Source organism: Homo sapiens, chromosome 5, assembly GCF_000001405.40.
Source record: "Homo sapiens chromosome 5, GRCh38.p14 Primary Assembly".
In the NCBI taxonomy this organism is placed as follows: Eukaryota; Metazoa; Chordata; class Mammalia; order Primates; family Hominidae; genus Homo; species Homo sapiens.
In genome coordinates, this window is record NC_000005.10 from 118,248,149 (window position 1) to 118,269,454 (window position 21,306).

The 21,306-nt window shown below is 34.4% G+C and overlaps 1 long non-coding RNA gene across 1 annotated transcript in view; it reads left to right on the forward strand.

The window, feature by feature from the left end:
* LINC02147 (long intergenic non-protein coding RNA 2147) overlaps nt 1-17,914 on the forward strand; it is a 535,702-nt gene extending 517,788 nt beyond the window's left edge. Inside the window, exon 3 of the long non-coding RNA NR_104997.1 lies at nt 17,206-17,914. This is a non-coding gene — a long non-coding RNA (long intergenic non-protein coding RNA 2147). The remainder of the gene's footprint in view (nt 1-17,205) is intronic.
* The last annotated feature ends 3,392 nt before the right edge of the window (nt 17,915-21,306 follow it).

The window sequence follows — 21,306 nt, forward strand, 5'->3', positions numbered from 1 at the left end:
GAGGCCTAACAATCAGCCTGCCTGGACCCACTAACACTAGAGCCAGCACACACTGCTCCAGGGCTCAGGGACAGGCTTGCTCACTGCTGCAAACATGAGGCCCAAAGACTGGCCCATCTGGCATTCCAGTCCCCAGCAAAACTTCACCATAGCCTCCATTAATAACTGCACTCTAAGCCACTGAAAAAAATCACAGATACCATGGATGCTATATACAGCTGAAGAAATCATGCTGAGACTACACTACTGCATACAACCAAAATAGAAGTCAAAGAGGACTAAACAACCAACATCATAGATAGAGCTTTAGAAAAAGTACTCCCCTATGAAAGCAAATTTTAAAAATTAGAAAAAGTAACTGTTACACTGGATGCAGAGATATCAATGTAAGGACACAGGAAACAAGAAAAAGCAAGAAAATGAAAAACAATCCACTCAAAAGAAAAACAATTTTCCAGTATATCCCCATCAAAAAGACTTGTGAAATCTGGATAAAGAATTCAAAACACTGATTTTAAATAAGCTCAGTGAGATACAAGAAAATGCTAAAAAAAAAAAAAAAAAAAGAAAAAAGGAAAAGAAATCAGGAAATCATTTCAGAACACGAATGAGAAATTTACCAAAAAGATTTTAAGAATGAACCAGGGAAGATATTCTGGAACTAAAGAATTCATTGAAGAAAATACAAAGTACATTTAAAGCATAAACAACAGACTAGATCAAGCAGATGAAACAATCTCAGAACTTGAAGACAAGTCTTTTGAAATAGTCCAATCAGACAAAGATAAAGAAAAAAGAATTTAAAAAATGATTGAAGCCTCCATGACATTTGGAACAACATAAAGTGACCAGATACTCAAATTATCAGTGCTCCCAAGAGTGAAGAGAGAAGAAAAGAGTTAGAAAATCTATTTAACAAAATAACAAGTGAAAATTTCCCAAGTAGAACAGGGATGAGATATCCAAATACAGGAGGCCCAGAGATTTCCAAACAGATACAATGAAAAAAGGTATTCTTCAGGGCAGATTATAGTCAAACAGTCTAAAGTAAACAAAGAAAAAAAAATTTCTAAAAATAGCAACAGGAACTATCAAGGAACCTCCATCAGACTAATAGCAAGTTTCTCAGCAAAAGCCTTACAAGCCAGCAAAAGATGGAATGACATTTTTAAAGAGCTGAAACAATAAAAATGCCACCCAAGAATACTATATCCAGCAAAATTATCCTTCAGAAATAAAAAAGAATTAAAGTTCCAGACAAGCAAATAATGAGAGAATTCATCAGCATTAGACCAATCCTACAAAAATTGCTCAAGGGAGTTCTACAACTAGAAGCAAAAGTACATTTACCATCCCCAAAGCACATGAAAATATAAAGCTCACTAGTAAATCAAATATACAAATGAGGAAGAGAAAGAGATCAAATGGTACCACTACAGGAAACCACAAAACCACAATGACAAAGAATAAAAGAAAAGGAAAGAACAACAAAATAGCCAGAAAACAACTAGCAATATGACAGAAACAGAATGTCGCATATCAGTAAATAACCTTGAGTATAAATGGGTTGAACTTTCGACTTAAAAGATATACACTGGATAAATGGATTAAAAAAAAAACATGATCCACCTATATGTTGCCTGCAAGAAATGCATTTTAGCTGTAAAGACACATATAGACTCAAAGTAAAGTAAGAGAAAAATATATTCCTTACAAACAGAAACTACAAGTAAGCAGGAGTAGCTATACTTATATAATTCAGAAAAAATATATTTTTAGACAAAAACTTTAAGAAGATACAAAGAAGATCATTATGTAATGATAAAGGGATCAATTCAGCAAGAGGATATAGTATTGCAAATATATATGCATCCAACACCGGAGCACCCAGGTATATGAAGGAAATATTACAAGACCTAAAGAGAAAGACCCCAATACAATAATAGCTTGGGACTTCAACACCCCGCTTTCAGATTTTGACAGATCATCTGGACAGAAAGTCAACAAAGAAACATCAGACTTAGTTTATACTGTAGACCAAATAGACCTACTAGACATTTATAGAACATTTTATTCAATAGCTGCAGAATACACATTCTTCTCCTCAGCACATGAAACATTTCCCAGGACAGCCCATATGTTTGACTACAAAACAAGTCTCAAAAAAATTCAAAAAATAGAATTGAAATTATATCAAACATCTTTTCTGAACATAATGAAATAAAACTAGAAATCAATAACAAGTAGAACTTTGAAAACTATACATGAAAATTAAACAACATGCTCCTGAACAAGCACTTAGTCTTTGAAGAACTTCAGAAGGAAATTAAAAAATTTCTTCAAACAAATGAAAATGAAACACAACATACCTAAACTGGTAGGAAACAGCAAAAGCAGTGCTAAATGGAAATTTATAACAATAAACATCTACCTCAAAAAGTAGAAAGATATCAGACAACAGAAATAATATAATGCACATCAAGGAACTAGGAAAGCAGGTACAAAACAAACCCCAATGTAGCAGGAGGAAAGAAAAAGATCAGAGCAGAGATAAATGAAACAGATACTAAAAAACAACACAAAACATCAATATAACAAAAAGTTGGTTATAAAAAATAAAAATAATAAATTGCTAGCAAGACTGAGAAAAAAGGAAAGATGACAAATAAAATCAGAAATCATATGATCATCTTGTTGATACAGAAAATTTACTTGATAAAATCCAATATCCTTGTATGATAAAAACTCTCAACAAATTAGGAATCGAAGAAACATACTCAAAATAATAAAGGCCACACAGGACAAACCCACAGTTAACATACTGAATGGGGGAAAGCTGAAAGCCTTTCCTCTAAATGCAAGAAAAGAAAATTAAAGGCATCCAAACTGAAAAAGAATAAGTCGAGTTGTCCTTTTTTGCTTACAACATAATCTTACATCAAGCAAAACGGAAAGACTCTGAAAAAACTCCTAGATTTCATAAATAAATTCAGTAAGTTTGCATGATACAAACTCAACGTACAAAAATTAGTAGTTTTTATATATCAATAATGAATTAGCTGAGAAACAAAAAAGTTAATCCCATATATAATAGTGACAAAAAATAAAATACCTAAAAATAAATTTTAACCAAAAAGGTAAAATACCTCTACCAAAAAACAAACAAACAAAAAACACCTCAAAACACTAAAATTGAAGAGTATACAAACAAATGGAAAGATATCTCATGCTCATGGGTTAGAAGAATTACATTAAAGTGATCCTATTGCCCAAAGCAATCTACAAGTTCATTGTAATCCCCCATCAAAATACCAATACCATTTTTCATAGAAATAGAGAAAACAATCCTAAAATTCATATAGAACCAAAAAAGAACTAGAATGGCCAAAGTAATGCTGATAAAAAAAGAATGAAGCTGGGGGCATCCTACTATCGGACTCCAAAATATATTACAAAGCTATAGTAAACAAAACAGCATGGTGTTGGCATAAAATATATGCATAGACCAATACAACAGAATAGTGATTCAATAAATCCATGTATTCACAGTCAACTGATTTTTGACAAAGGCAGCAACATTCACTGGGCAGAGGACGCCCTCTTCACTAAGTGGTGCTGGGAAAATTAAGAGAACCATATGCAGAAGAATAAAACTGGACCCCTACTACTCCTCATAAACAAAATTCAACTCAATATGGATTAAAGACTTAATCATTAAGTCTTCTTAATGTTAATCATTAAAGTTAATAAAATTTAAATCAGTGTTTGCATAAAACTTCTAGAAAAAAATATAGGAAAAAAGACTTCAAGACTTCAGTCTAGGCAAAGATATCATGGCTAAGACCTCAAAAGTAAAGACATCAAAGGAAACAGTCAACAAAGTGAAATGACAACCCGTTGAATGAGAGAATATATTTGCAAACAATGTATCTAGGGACAAGTGACTAATATCCAGAATATATGAGGAACTCAAACAACTCACACTAAAAACATAAATAATCCCATTAACAAGTGGACAAAAGATACAATCAAACATTTCTCAAAAGAAGACATATAAATGACCGTCAGGAATATGAAGAAGTGCTCAACATTGCTAAGCACTGGGGAAACCCAAATCAAAATCACAATGAGGTATAATCTCACCCCAGTTAGAATGGCTATTATTGCAAAGACAAAATAATAGCAAGTGCTGGTCAGGATGTGGAGAAAAAGTAACTCATACACTGCCAGTGGCAGTGTAAATTAGTAAAACCGCTCTGGAAAATGGTACAGAGATTTCTCAAAAAAACAAATATTGAACTGCCATACAATCCAGCAATTCCACTACTGGGTATTTATCCAAAGAAAAAGAAATATATTTTTCAAAAAGATACCTGAACTCCTATGTTTATTGGAGCACTATTCACAATGGCAAAGATATGGAATCAACCTAGTTGACCATCAGTGGACAAACAGAAAGACAATATGGTATATACACACAATGAAATACTATCCAGTCATAAAAACGAATGAAATCATGTCATTTTCAGCAACACGGATGGAACTGGAGGTCATTATGTTGAGTGACAGAAAGACAGATACCACATGTTCTTCCACATGGAAGCTAAAAAAGTCAATCTAATTGAGACAGAGAATCAAATTATAGATACCAGAGGGTGGGTAGGATGTGTGAATGGGAATGAGGATCAAGAGAGGTTGATTAGTGAGTACAAATATATCAAATATATAATTAGATAGAAGAAACAAGTCCCAATAATCAATAACAGAGTAAGATGACTATAGTTAGCAACAGTATACTTTATATTTCAAAGTAGCTAAACCAGAAGACTTGGAATGTTACCAACACATAAAAATGACAAATACTCAAGGTGATGGATACCTCAAATACCCTAGCTTGATTATTACACATTCTATGCATGTAGCAAATACATGTACCCCATAAATATGTAAAATACATTGTGTCAATACAAATTTCAAAAATCTATATAATTCTTTCTTCCTAATTAATTTATGAATATATGTTGTAAGCATGTGATATATTTTGGTTGCTAGAGTTGCACTGGACTTACAGAAAATCAAAGTCACAAATCCCCTCAGCAACTGCCTAAAAAATGTCTTAAATGTTATCAGCTTTAAATGTTGCAAAGCTGTGTTTATTTGGCTTGTAATTTTGAATATATCCCAAATGACAAATTAAGAGCTATTAAACCCTGGCTTAATAGCCAGGGTTTGAGTCCCTCTTATGAGTCTATTCTTCTATCAAAATAGAAAGGGACCCAACTGCTCAAAGACATAAGGTTTGCTTTATCTCAAACAAACATAGCTAGAACTTTGGAAATGAGAAAGAAGCAACATTTTCTGGAAAGGCTTAACATTTTATTACCAGTGAGTATATTTGCTTTGGAAAAACCTTTCAACTGAACAATGGTTTCCATTATCCTGAGCCTTTGGTTTTCCTCTAAATCCTCTTTTGTAGGCATTTCTTAGCTCTCTCAACACTGCTTGACAGTTTTGTTATTTTAGTTTGATTTTCTGCAATTCTACTTCTCTGCTGTCTGGATGATTTTATTATTTGCCATATTCTCTCTTTCAGATTGGGAGTCTTATTCTGGTTTTGGCTTGCCAGAGTTTTGGCAAGCTACTGCTATAAAATACAAGAGATTTGGAAGCTATGCAGATGGCAAATGTAGTGTTGTATGCTTTCATTCATGATGGGCTTCCGTCTTTTTTATAACAGGCAGGAAAACTGCCAGCTCTTATTCCCTGTGCCCGCTTCTGACATATTTAAGCAAGATTGTGGTAATGATTTGCAGGACTGCAGGCTTTTTAGTTGGGGTACACTCTGGTGGTTGGAATTTAAAGGAAAAAGTTTCCATTGATACTTAGCATTGATTTTCTTACATTTGTTTTCTATATTAATGACTCCATTTACCTTTGAAGTTAACATTTTTCCTTTAGAAGAGTTAAAAGATTACCTAATATTTTCTTTGGTTTTTATTGTTTGTTTTTCCCCAAAGCTAGTACTCATGATAACAATGAAATTTATTTATGTTTTTGAAAGAACATCTTGCCAAGCATTACCACTAAAATAATAAGATCTACTCTCTCAATTGTAATTTAATAAACCTGTTTCTGGAAATGACTTTTGGAAAAGAGAAGCATTCATTTCAGCTCATTAGATCCATGAGCTTAAGCTTAGATAAATAATTCCTGTTCAGAAAAGGTAGGACAATTTTGCCACAACATAGCTTGGATATTTAGGATGCTCTGGTAAATCAAAGGTGTGAAAAGTGCAATCTTATGCAAAAAATGAAATATTGACTGGCATTGTTAATAAAAGTACATTTTTCCATCATATAACTATGGCACTGTAATAACCAAAAATAATTAAGTCTTCCCAGTGCCTCAGTTTCCCTTGATTATGCCTTTTTTCTCTCGTAGGGAGATGTGTTGGGGAAAATATTCTAATTAATTTCTATACAACTTAAAAGCTCAGGACAGGAATATACAAGCATCAGCACAAGTAAAACAGGCCTTCACAAATATAGCTTTGTTAATATAAATTAATATATTGTATCAACATATCAAATTTTATTCTGTCATATTATATGATGTCTTTTAATTTATGGATTCTACTATAAAAAGGCACACAATTTTGCTCCCGGTCACACATAAATAATATGACAAATAAGCAACTGGTCTGATTCTAATCTCCCCTGCAGCCCTAAATATTATGTCCTCCCTCAATAGAAATCTGAATCAGTAGGAATTCTGAATGCAAAATTAATGGAGTTCTAACCATGAAAAACAAAAATAAGGGTTTCAGATATCCCAGGAGAGTTCCAATACCTAACCCAGAACTTGGCCAAGTCAATTCTTCACCACAGAGGATTCTGCCTTTGTAACAAGGCATTTGCTTTCCTGGTCCTCCCTACAGAATGCCAATAATGTCTTTCCCCTCAGTTAAAAGGTCAGAAAAAAAAATATCCCTAACCACTCCCACATACCACATGGATGGCAAGATACTGACAACCTCCATTTGAGAACCACTGCACACACAATATTGGCTTGGAAATTCGACAAACCTAGAACTCCAAAGAGACAAAGACAATTCTGTTACACATTAAATACTGAGTTCAGGCCAGGTGCAGTGGCTCATGCCTGTAATCCCAGCACTTTGGGAAGCCAAGGCGGGCAAATCATGAGGTCAGGAGTTCAAGACCAGGCTGGCCAATATGGTGAAACCTCGTCTCTACTAAAAAGAATACAAAAATTAGCCAGGCATGGTGGCGCGCACCGGTAGTCCCAGCTATTCGGCAGGCTGAGGCAGGAGAATTACTTGAACCCAGAAGGCAGAAGTTGCAGTGAGCCAAGACTGGGCCACTGTACTCCAGCCTGGGTGACAGCGCAAGACTCTATCTCAAAAAAATAAAAATAAAAAATAAATACTGAGTTCAACCAAAGGACCTGTATGTGTTTTAGACAATTTTTCTGTTGTATAGGATGTATGGACTGCCTTTTGCATTATTAAATCTACAATTTATTTACCTTGATCAAAAAGTCAAAAAGAATCATGCAGACACAAACAAAAGGTAAAGAAAATAAAGCTAAGTATCAATTTTTTTCTTGGATTCAGATGCTTTTCAATTAGTAGAGAATCTGTGTCTGCTTTTATTTAACTGTATATACAGGTCAATTAAAACTGAAATAAGGAGATTGTAATACAAAGGCTAAGGCTTACCTGACCCTAAGACCACCTTATTTGTAAATTAGAATTTATGACTAGAAGTATTTTATTATGAGGTAATAGATTCAGTAGAGTCAAATGAAAGTATTATCAGCTTCATTTAAAATTGTCTGATAAAAAGAATATAAACAAATATTTATAAAGTAATAGGGATAGGTTTACTGACTTATGTATATTTTTCAGCAAAAACTTACCATGACAAAGACATTCATCAACTCCATATTAACCAAAGTACATATTTCAAGTTAGAAAGTTTAGCCTACTTGCCATTATAACTAAAGTGTGTGCCCATAATATACCATGTTTTATTAAATGATTTTTTTATGAAACGTTTCTGAAAGACACAAAAATAGACTTGAAGAAGTGAAAATACATGCTATATTCTTGCATAAGAAGACACAGCATTCTAAAAATTACAATTTCCTCCAAGCTACATAATACATTTGATATAATCCCAATACAAATATCATAAGAATTGTTTGTAGCATTATACAAGTTCATTTTAAACTTCATTTAGAAAACTAACCATAAAGCAATATCCAGAGAAATCTTACAATGTATGGGGGAACTACTTCATCCAGATACTAAAATATATTATAAAGTCTCTATAATTAAACTATATGCTATGGACGTATCAATGACCAGACATACTAGTAGAAGAGAGTAGGAAATTCAGAAAATGGATACTAGAGCATTGGGAAATTTGGAATATAATTAGCACAGCATCTCAGATCAGTGCTATGAAAACTACATAGTCATATGGAATAGTGTAATTTTGAATCATTCCTCACATAATTTATCAGGATAAATTTCAAATGCATCAGAGGTTGGAACATTAAAAATATCACCATACAGGTAGTAGGACAAAATGGGAAAATTTCACTATAAATCAGAGTAGAAAACACTTTCCTAATTATGATTCAAAACCAAGAAGTAATAAAGAAAGTGGCAGACACATTTTTGTACATTAAAAAAAATCCTTATGGCAAACACAGACACAGACGAGTAAAAAGACAAATTGTAAACTAGAAAAAAATTATCAAGACTATATTACAAATAAGAAGTTCATACCCTAAGAAATACAAAGAAAATTTAATATTTCAGGACCAAAAGACCAATTGCCCAATGAAAAATTTACAAAGAAACATAAATAACATATAAAGATGCTCGCTCTCACTCTCTCACTCATAATAAAAAATGCAAATTAAACCTATTATCAGATACCATTTCTCATCTATCCAATTGGCAAACATCTGAAAGTTTGACAGCATACTCTGTAGTTGGCTTGTGGGGAGTCAATCATTCTCATACATTGCTGGTGGGAATGTAAAATGACTCAACCCAAGGGAATTTGATATCTAGCAAAATTACATACACAATTACCCTTTATCTCAGCAATCCCACTACTAGGAACTTTCCCAAAAATACACTGGCAATAGTACAAAATGTGATACACAAAAATAATTTATCATAACAGTATTTGTAATAAGAAAATACTGGGAAAAATCAATGTGCATAATTACAGTACTGCTTGAATAAACTTTAATGGAGTACTCTGCAGCTGTAAAATTGAACGAGGACAATCTCAGTCTACTGTGGTATAGTGATCACGAGGATAAATTATTAGGCTTAAAAAAACAAGGTACAAAACAGTTTTATTACTATTACATAAAAAGAAGAGATAGAAGTATGTGTGTATGTGTGTATGTAAGCACAAATACACTTACATATGTAGGTATTGATATACACTCATGTATATATACACTTACATATATAGGTACATGCATATGTGTATATACATATATATTACAAAAAAACAGAAAGATAAACTAAGAATAGCAAAAAAAGTCACCTATTAAAGGAGGCAGACATAGAGATGAAAGTTAAACTCATCTTGAGCTTTGGCTTTGGAGCCTTGTAAATGTTTTACATTTTTAATAAACAAAAATAAAGATAAATAACAAAAGGCAACCCTATATTTTGAAAAGTAATTCAAGAAAATGAATCTAACTGTATATTAAGTTGGTGGCATAGCTACATAAAAATAGTTATGTTGACAGATTTAAAAAACAATATTTTCATTATAATCCTTGTGGGATATATCCTAAGGACAAAAAGAACAACAAAGAAATCTTATATTGTACTCAGTGATTTAATCATAAATTAAAATTCTGGCATTGTTATTTTGAAACTATTATGAGTATATTGTAGGACAAAAGAAATAAGTAATTTTGTTAACTGCAATAGGAACCAAGATTTTCAGATAAAGAGAAAGAGATGTGAACATAAAACAATTTAAATGAGTACCCTATAATCTGAAATCTGAGTTTCCAATATCCCTATGAAGTCATGAAATATTTTCTCTATATAAAGAAGTATGAATTTTCAAGTTCTGAAAGGTCAAAAATAAATGGTAATTCAGTAACAATAGTCAACTGTAGAGTACTTGTTTTGGAATCAAATTGTCATTTTCTGCTAAATGAACGAAGGCTTTTTGGAGCAATGGGTGATTCCAGGTCTTGGAATATTCAAAATGAGCCTGGAACATCTTGTACCAAAAAAACAAGAAAGATTTCAGACTATTGCAGTTGTATTTTAAAAAAAAAAGGTACAAGAGCCAATAAACTCTGATTGGTTACAAATTGAGTAATTTGAGCACCAGAAAGAATAATATTTGCAATTGATCAGAACACAGTGAGCATTTCTTTAAAAATCATTGGTTAACTGTGAAGTTGCTAAAATATCAACTCATTCTGCAAATTAATGAATAAAGGCAAATAATCAAACCTTTACCATCATTTTACAAATTATGTTTGGAGGGAACAATACTGATGAAAGGAAAATTATTCTTTATAGAAGTATTTCAGCTACAAATGCAGAAAGAATAAAAAATTTAAAATCACAATACTGTGATCTCTAATGGAAACAAACATCTTAGCACTGATTGCCAATGGGCAACCATTTTGTGAAAGTCTTAGGAGAAACCCTGGAATAGATTGATGGGGCTTACAGCTCCGAACCCACCTGACTAAAAGTGAGGCTTCCTCCTGATATGATGCACTTGATGTTTCACAGCACTTCCTGAAGTGTCTTTTGAGGGTTTTTTGCTTCAAAAAAAAGTGAAGCTTAATCGAATGCTTCAGATTGAAATTTTACAAGAAATATGGAGAATGAATAAATTAGGTAAATCAGTAAATGATGCCACAAAGAAGCAACCAGAGAAATCTAGAATGTGAAAAAATCCCGCCAGACCTAGTTTCATTTGCAATAAATAAATGTCAAGGGGAAAAAAAGGAGAGAAGAAACTGCTATAGAGAAAAAGAATTTACAAACATTAACAAAGTACATGTATAGACCTTGGTGAAATTGTAATTTGAACAACTGTAAAGATAATTTGGCAAATTTGAGCATGGACTGGATACTAGACGATATTGTTAATATTAGTTGTAATAATGATCATGTAAATATGAAAAAGTCATTCGCCATTAGAAATATATTTTGAAGAATTTATAGTTTCTGATTTTTTAAATACTTTAGAAAAATGGGGAAGATAGATGAAATAAAATTGCAAGATGTTAATAATTATTGAAGCTAGATGATGGACACACAGTTTATTGTGTTATTTATTTTCTACTTTTGTTTGAAAAATACCATGATAAAAAACTGTTTTTAATTTATTGATTCTGGGCACTTCTATCTTATAACTACTAGTGACTGCTCCCCTTGTACAAACATTGCAGAAACTGTATTCTTCAGCATGTGATTCATATCACATAAATTTCCATTGTTCTTTTTTTAAGTGAAATTTATTCTTTCATCAGACCTGGTACATTTACAGACAGAGTTTCAATATGTTCTGCTTCATATGCTTTCTTAATCCATTAAATAATATTATATAAGTGAGTTTCAGATTTAGATTTTCTTCACAATGAAAATAAATGAAACACAATTATGCCTGTGAAGGACCCTCTGCTTTTATGTGATATTTTATCTCAACAGTTACCAACCTGTGGATCCTGAACCTTTGGAAAACCACAGAGAAAATCAAGCAGCCATGAAATGAACTGTGTGTGTAACCCCTATAATATTTTACACATATAAGTAGTATTAAAGTAAGAGTTTACTGAGCTGCCTTTATAATTAAATAAAATCTCAATTAGTGAATATTTAAATTACAACGACTCCTCTTATATAAGGTTATGTTTTTCTTTACATGAACAAAAAATGCCCTAATTATTAACAATATTGAAGACCGCTGACTACTTGGTTCTGACACTATTTAGTGTTTAATTTTCAGGTATTTTAGAAATAGCAGTGATTTGTGTGTGTGTGTGTGTGTGTGTGTGTGTGTGTGTGTGTGTGTGTTTAAAGAAAATAATCCCTAAGGGGTCCCTATTCAAAAGATTTCCTGCAGATGCATCATGAGTGGTCCTTCATCATTCCCTGAGACGAACTCCTCTCTACGAAATGCTAATAGGTAGAATACCATGTGAATGAAGCCATGTGGACTTGTGCAACACAGTGACTCTGAGCCTCAGGAACCTTTTCTCCCTAAGACTACACAATGCAAAAATGCTGTTCTCTTTTTGTATCACAATCACGTCAAGTTTTAGGATAATTTTTGTAACATGTAGTAAACCAAGAAAGATATAATATAGCCAATACCAATAAATAAGATTGTAGCCAATATCAATAAATAAGATTGTACCCTCTTATGGTAGAAACTGAACCTTCTCTGGATTTTACCTAAATCTGGTCTCCAGCATGACTGTAGAACACTGAAGGAACTAGACTGAGTGAAGAAAATATGCTGGTGCCCAGTGGACTCCACATGCTGGAGATTGGCTGCATATTCATGAATGCTGATTATTATTTAGACCAGATGAAACCCTATTTTTTTCTAGATGCTTCTTAACTATTTTACAGATATCCACAATGAATTGTTTACACTATCCTCATGAACAAGATACTTGTCACTTATTTTTTTTTCACTTTGATGTTCTCTTCCAAATAGTTTCCCTTTCTTAAGATGAACATTGTTAGACATAATTATAAGCATCTAAAGGCACACTGCTTTACCAAGTAAAATGCAAGATTCTTGTTCTTGTTCTCTCGTTGTTTATAAAGAGTTAAATCAAACACTTTGTGTGAGGGTAATGTGTGTATATGTCAGGGAAGCTATAATTGACTGTAGAATTTCTTCTCTTCTGATGCCAAGACAATATTGGAGGAAACCTGAGTCCTAAAACTTGAGATTCCAATGGTACCATTGCAGTCAGGGTGAGGCATGAAAAGCTGTTTGAAGTAAGAGTAGGATGAAAGAATGGATCTATCACTATCTCAAAGAAACCTAAAATTAGAATGGGGAATAAGAGAGATTGATATTATCTCCCTAGCTGCATTTTTTATACTTGTTCTCCTTAAATTATTATCTACCTGGGCCTCTGTTTATGCTTGCTTTTCTTTGAGATAGTATGGGGTAAAGAAATTATTATTAGGAAATATTTCTCTATATAAAAATGCTTAGTTTATGTATGAAGAACCAGTTACCCTACCTTTAATTTTGCCTGTAGCCAAATGAATTTTTAATATTTAATACTTGTAGATAAATGTATTTAAGATCAGAGTTGTGAAATATTTATAGAGAAAGAGCTGATGATGAACTCAATACCAAACCCCAGGCCTCTGGGTCACTTTTATAAACCTGATAACTATAAATTCAGAGGTGAAATGAATGGAGGGATAAAAAAAAAAGTAACATGAACCCAAGATTGAAATGACTACCTAAGAGACCAGTTAAAATAGATTAGTACCCTTGTAGCAGTTATTGATGACATTTTAAAGAACCAATTGACCAATATGGAATAACATAAAGCAAGAAAGCACTATCTGATGGAGGTGACACTCGGGATAGGTTTTCTTACGGTTTTGTTTTTTCTCTGAAGCACAAACTCTGCTCAGACCCCTATGTGTCAAAACTGACTAAGCCAATAAATTGGCTTCCATAGAACTTCACTTTGTTTTTTTCATTTGTAAAGTAGAAAAATGAAAGGACAGTTGTCCTTTACTAGAAAACTAATAAAACTTATTTTTGAAAGCTAAAACTATACCCCTGCTGAAGATAAAGTACTATGGAAGGTCTAAAACTATTAACAAGTAAAAAATAAATCTGATTTTATAATAAAAATATTTCATGGGAATTATTACCTTTGTCATTTGGTATTTCAAAATATCTGGTTAAAAAAACAAACAATCTAATTTCATTAATTCTCCTTTTTTAATAATCAAAAGATAACACATTCTCCTTTATTATACCATATTATTAAGTGCATAACAGGGTTAGCTACAGATTAGCCATTGGGCACATGTCTATGGATTGATTAGTTGATACACTGAAACTCTATTCACACCAGAAACTATGCCCCTAAGTATTGTTTCTCTTTCTTGCTACCTATAACGTGCTCCCTGGTTACTTCATTCATCCCAGTTAGAAGGACGAATGTGTGGGCATGCTAACAATAAAATTCCTGTCCCAAGATCTTTAAGCTAATATAGACAATTGAATTTTTAAAAGCATTCTGGAGTTTGAGTCACTTAAATGGGACTTGATAAAGCTATGCATACATTAGGATTGGTTTAGAGAAAAATATTGGTAATGCCCAAAGGATGCTCATCTGAATTTGTGTCATTAGTTATTCTTCTAAGACCCGCCTCTTCTTCTTTAAAATGCATGCATCACTGAACAGCAACCATCACCCAATATTTTAATGAAGAGACACAAAAAAAATTAAGCATGAAAGAATCTTCCAAAAATGAACATAAAAAATAGATAAGCCATTTTTGGTGATGATGAAAACATAAATGCCCATGGGAGCTAAGTAGGTAATATAGATGAGTAGACTGAAATGATCCAGTTGTAAGAATAACAATAGAGCAAGGGCAACTAAAAAAGGGCAACAGAGCAAAGACAACTAAGAAACACCAGGGAGTAGTAGAAACTGTAACTGTCCTCAGACCACAAATACTGTTCACAGGGAAGTCATGGCTTGGCACCAACAGAGAGTGGCCATGAGGATGCTTTTTAAGGAGCAGGCAGAAATCTATATTCTGTTTGCAATCTCTCCATTTTTAAGTATAGTAACCCTTTTAGTCCATTGGGTCTACTAAAACAAAATACCATAACTGGGTAGCTTATTAATAACACAGATTTACTTCTCACAGCTCTGGAGGCTGGGAAGTCCATAATCAAGGCACTGACAGATTTAATGCGAGGGCCCATTTCCTGGTTCAAAACGCCAACTTCTCCCTGTGTCCCCAAATGGAGGAAAGGGCAAAAGAACAGTCTAAGGTCTTTTTGTTTTTTTGTTTGTTTGTTTGTTTGTTTTGATATGGAGTCTCGCACTGTCACCCGAGCTGGAGTGCAATGGTGCAATCTCAGCTCACTGCAACCTCTGCCCCCTGGGTTCAAGTGATTCTCCTGCCTCAGCCTCCCAAGTAGCTGGGATTACAGGCGCCCACCACCATGCCTGGCTATTTTTTTTTTTTTTTTGTATTTTTAGTAGAGACGGGGTTTCGCGATGTTGGTCAGGCCGGTCTCGAACTCTTGACATCATGATCTGCCTGCCTCAGCCTCCCAAAGTGCTGGGATTACAGGTGTGAGCCACTGCGCTTGACCTAGAGTCTTTTCTATAAAGGCACTAATTGCATTCATGAGGGTTCTGCCCCATGACCGACTCACCTCCCAAAGTCCCCACCTCTAATACCATTACATTACCGATTAGGTTTCAACATATGAATCTGTGGCAGGACACTGGGGAGGGCATAATCATTCAGAATATAGCACTAAGTAATTCAAAAAACAATGAGGCCATCATAACAACCAAAGAAAACTGATTTGTTTGGAGTCAAGTTCATTTACTAAGATGATGTAACCCCTTAGTCATGACATTACCATTTAGAAAAGTAAGATGGGTTAGCCCACTATTTAACAATTATTGCCATTAAATGGTGAAGCATACACAGAATTTTGAGGGATGTGCAAAACAGTTTTTATTTTTCCTTTTTTTTTTTTTTGAAATTTTATTGAGTTCAGGGGTACATGTACAGGTTTGTTATACAGGTAAACTTATGCCATGGGTGCCTGTTATATAGATTATTTTGTCACCCAGGTATTAAGCCTAGTATCCATTAATTTTATATCCTAATCCTCTCCCTCTTCCTACCCTCTACCCTCAAGTAGGCCCCAGTGTCTGTTGGTCCCCTCTATGTGTCCATATGTTCTCATCATTTGGCTCCCACTTATAAGTGATAGCATGAGGTATTTGGTTTTTTGTTCCTGAGGTAGTTTCCTAAAAATAATGGCTTCCAGCTCCATCCATGTTCCTGCAAAGAACATGATCTTGTTCTTCATGGCTGCATAGTATTCCATGATGTATATATACCACATTTTCTAAGTTCCAAGACACATGTGCAAGATGTGCAAGTTTGTTACATAGGTAACCATGTGCCATAGTGGTTTGCTGCACCCATCGGCCCATCACCTAAACATTAAGCCCAGCATGCATTAGCAATTTATCCTGATGCTCTCCCTTGCCCTGCTACCCCCTGCCCATGACAGGTCCCAGTGTGTGTTGCTCCCCACTCTATGTTCATGTGTTCTCATTGTTCAGCTCCACTTATGAATGAGAACATGCAGTGTCTGGCTTTCTGTTCCTGCATAAGTTAGCTGAGGATAATGGCTTCCAGGTCCATCCGTGTCCCTGCAAAGGACATATTTTTCTTTCCAGTTATGGAGTTATGGCTCTGTCTATACAGAGCCATACCTTATACCTTATGTTAAGCCTGCCTTAACATACATAAAAGTTGTTTCTCTCAGATCTCACTTCCCAACCTGTGTTTCCTATAAGGTACTCTCAGACTGATCACTTCTCTACCCAGCCCGGAGAGTCCTCTTGCTTTTTGTTCATGGTTATTGTCCCAGGCTACCATTAGCGCTGTGTTTTTGCCCCATGGAAATGGCAGGAGATGGAGTTGTTCCAGAATTTCTACACAGATAGCATTTAGGAGCAATAATCTGTCAAATGAGGTGAAGTGGGAAGTGGAGGCTAGGAGATAGATTAAAACTTCATTTATTGAGTGAGCATTTTGTTAATGAACAGTTTTTTTTTGTTTGTTTCCTTTTTTTTTCTTTTTTTTTTGCGTGTGTGGTGGTTTATTGTGGCTTTGGGAGTAGTGGCTAGCAGACATCACCATTTTAGTGCTGCTAGTAGGGACGAGATAGTCCGCCAGTCAGTTTCCACCTACAGGAGGAGGAAATGAAGGAAAAATTGTTCTTCTAGGCCTAAACCCAGGGTGAAATAGCTACTACAGAAGCTAATATTTGATTGCTAATATTGTCTATCAATTTCTGTAGGACTCTGGTATATTTTGCTTAAAGAATCTATTTTTTTTCTTTATAGCAACAGCTCCATATGTTGATGTGAACTGTGACTCCAGGAGAACGGTGGAAAAGTGTCTTGATCCAGGAAGGAAGGGGTATAGAGAAAATATGAGTCTCACCACACTAGAAGCAACATATGCAAAATCCATCAAACACACCATAAAATCAATGTGGGAGTAACAACACCTTGGCCTACTGCTCCCTGAAAAGTTTTTCTCTCGTCAAGTGATGACAGGCGTACATTTGTAAATAAATTACCAAGTTGCTTTTGATTTGATGGAGAAGGAAGAAAAGGATTGTCTCCTGGAAGTATTTTTATTGTCTTAATAGGTAGGATAATATCTCTGTTCAGCAAACTGAGATCTTTTGAGAATCTTAACAAATGTATACCCCTCCCTCTCACCTTTTCCTCTCTGGTGTATTTCATAGGCAGCTTTGCTAACTGACTGCACTACTACAAATAGATTCTGTCACTTTAGAAATAGGATTTTTCCTTTTATAGGCAGATTGATGGACTAAGTGTCAAGGTTTTAGAACAGTAGCATGACTGGGGCAGACACTATAAACCATAAATCCAGTATTGACAAATGTTCTAGCCAATCCAGATTTTCTATTTGTTAAATTGCCTTTATGAAGTCATACTTGTGCAGCACAGAATATGGAAAATAATTGACAAGTTCTGAGAAGCCAGTTACTGAGCTCATAGTTTAATAAAGAAAATGTTAATGAACACTTGAGTATTATAAATTGTTATAAGAAGATTCTCTCTTCATTGTTTGCCAAAGTATGCTAATAATTCTTGACTGACTAATAAGCAGAGGTCATTCTAGATCTACAGATTTTGAAAGTTGGAACTTTTTATTTGTACCTTTTGTTTCACTTGTCAAAGTGAGCTAGTAACATAGAATAAACTATAAAAAATATGTAACAGAATCATAGCTTGAAAAACATCTTCTTAGAATTCAAATTTAATATAAATATTTTAAGAAAATTATATTTATGCCATTGTAAAAACATTACTTGGGGACTCCCTAAAAAAAGGTAATAAGGTATCTCTCAAAAAAGCATCAGAATCAAAGAATATCCAGCAGCCAACAATTCTCATTTTATAACCCTAATTCCAATATTTGCACTAGAACATCGGTTGTCCTTATCCACGCTTCTGCACAGCAAAAGAAACTACCATCAGGGTGAACAGGCAACCTACAGAATGGAAGAAAATTTTTGCCATCTACTCATCTGACAAAGGGCTAATATCCAGAATCTACAAAGAACTCAAACAAATTTACAAGAAAAAAACAAACAACCCCATCAAAAAGTGGGTGAAGGATATGAACAGACACTTCTCAAAAGAAGACATTTATGCAGCCAAAAGACACATGAAAAAATGCTCATCATCACTGGCCATCAGAGAAATGCAAATCAAAACCACAATGAGATACCATCTCACACCAGTTAGAATGGCGATCATTAAAAAGTCAGGAAACAACAGGTGCTGGAGAGGATGTGGAGAAATAGGAACACTTTTACACTGTTGGTGGGACTGTAAACTAGTTCAACCATTATGGAAGACAGTGTGGCGATTCCTCAAGGATCTAAAACTAGAAATACCATTTGACGCAGCCATCCCATTACTGGGTATATACCCAAAGGATTATAAATCATGCTGCTATAAAAACACATGCACATGTATGTTTATTGTGGCACTATTCACAATAGCAAAGACTTGGAATCAGCCCAAATGTCCATCAATGATAGACTGGATTCAGAAAATGTAGCACATATACACCATGGAATACTATGCAGCCATAAAAAAGGATGAGTTCATGTCCTTAGTAGGGACATGGATGAAGCTGGAAACCATCATTCTCAGCAAACTATCACAAGGACAAAAAATCAAATACTGCATGTTCTCACTCATAGGTGGGAATTGAACAATGAGAACACTTGGACACAGGATGAGGAACATCACACACCGGCTCCTGTCATGGGGTGGGGAGAGTGGCGAGGGATAGCATTAGGAGATATACCTAATGTAAATGACGAGTTAATGGGTGCAGCACATCAACATAGCACATGTATACATATGTAAGAAACCTGCAGGTGGTGCACATGTACCCTAGAACTTAAAGTATATAATAATAAAAGTAAAACACATTGTTATTTTATGTACCGCTAAAAAACAAAACACTACTAATTATAATTGTAAGAAGCATTTTGATTTCAGAAATATTACAGTAGTATAAAAGGTACATCTCACAATTGATTTGGCAGAAGATTTCAAGGAAAATCTCTAAATCTTTACAGAGCAGTATATTGGAAGCAAGCAGCTAAGGGAATATGATGGAGTTCAGTAGTTGACATTTTCTTGCTATTTCTCATATCAAAGTGAACTCCTATTTTGGAGTTCAGAAAGAGATGTTAATCTGATTTCTGCTTTTCATAGAAAAGAGTAGGTAATGTAAGGCAAACCCAACACATCCTATCTTTACTATGCTGGGATTTTGCTAAATGTTTGAAAAACAAATTCAGATCAAGGAAAAAACCGTCCAGGCATAAATAAACAAGCAATCAACTAGGACCTAATGAAAATAATCATTGAACTACTCATGCTGCAGAGCACAAAAAAATCTCCAATATAGCACTGTCCATTTTAAATATGCTCAGTTTGAACTTTCTTTGAAAATACCACATGTGTTTGGGCAGCTGTCATCTTTTAGAAGTTCATATTCACTTTGTACCCTTCCTGTTCCCATGGGCAGACTAAGCTGAACATGCTTTTAGAAGAGCATTCCCCTTGCACTTCTATAGACATGCACTGACTGATGTCAGAGGCAATGGGGTCTTGGAATAGGGTATCCTATATCTGAAAAAAATCCAAAAGAAAAAAAAAAGAATAGACTTCTTCTGACACTGGGAAGGACATTTTATTAGGAACCTAAACTTTTTTTTATCTAAGAAGAAAGATATAAATCCCAAACAAAGCTTTAAACAAAAAGGAGAAATTCCCTGCTTAGGTTTCTACCACAAAAACAAACTTTGGTTCCAGATTTATTTATGGAAATATACCTTTTCCAAATCCTTTTTCTTGTTTTCACTAAAACAATATGTAACCTCTCCACTGAGACTTAAACTCCATATATCCATCTTTCTACTTATCTCTCCTCGGATGTCTAGTAAGTGTCAATAACTTAATATGGCCAAATCACTGTGTTCTAACTCTGTCCTCTTGTCTTCCCTATTATTTACTGTTACATATGACATTGCCATCCACCCAGATGTCCAAACAAGAAACCTAGGAATATACCTTGATTTCTTATTTAATTTCACCTCCTACATCTACTCCAGCATCAGTACAAAATATACCAAAATCCTTTAGTCCAATTTTCCCATTTATCAGTAATATCCTGAAGAGGCTACTATGATTTCCTGCCTGGTTCTCTAGTTTGTTCTTTCATAGCCCCTAATCCTTTTTCCACACAACCACAAAGAAGTTTCTTTCCCAAATCTCAGCTCCTGTGCCACTTCTTAAATGTAAATCAGGTTGTTACTACCCTAAGTCTTCAAATCATTTCCAATTGCATTTCAATTACTAGTTACTTCACCCTCTACACTTCAGTTTTATCATCTGTAAAATGAGACTAATAATGATACTACTTCATACAATAGCTATGAAGATAAAATGAAGATAGGTAAAACTATCAGAATAGTGCTTGGCACATAGGCAATGCCACGCAGAGCAGAGTTGCTGTTGTTTACAACTCAAATGTAAACCCCTTACCAGGTCTGACCCTCTCCCTCCTCTTCCACTACGTCTCTTACCACTATTCCATTCCTCCAATGATCTGGTCTCCTTCGTCTTTCTCAAGCACATTTGGCTCATTTCCTTCTTGAGGCCTTGAACCTTCTGTCCTTCCTGTAATCATTAGCACCCAACCCTCTTTTTGGCTTGTTGCTTTTTATTTTCCAAGTCTCAGATCCTCTGACATTTCTTAATGAGACTTTCCCTGACCACCCAAAGTAAAATTAGCACATCACCCTGCTTTATTTCCTTCATAGCACTTTTAATTTCTAAATTTATTCATCATCTTCATCTCCATGTCACTAGATGAAATCAGGG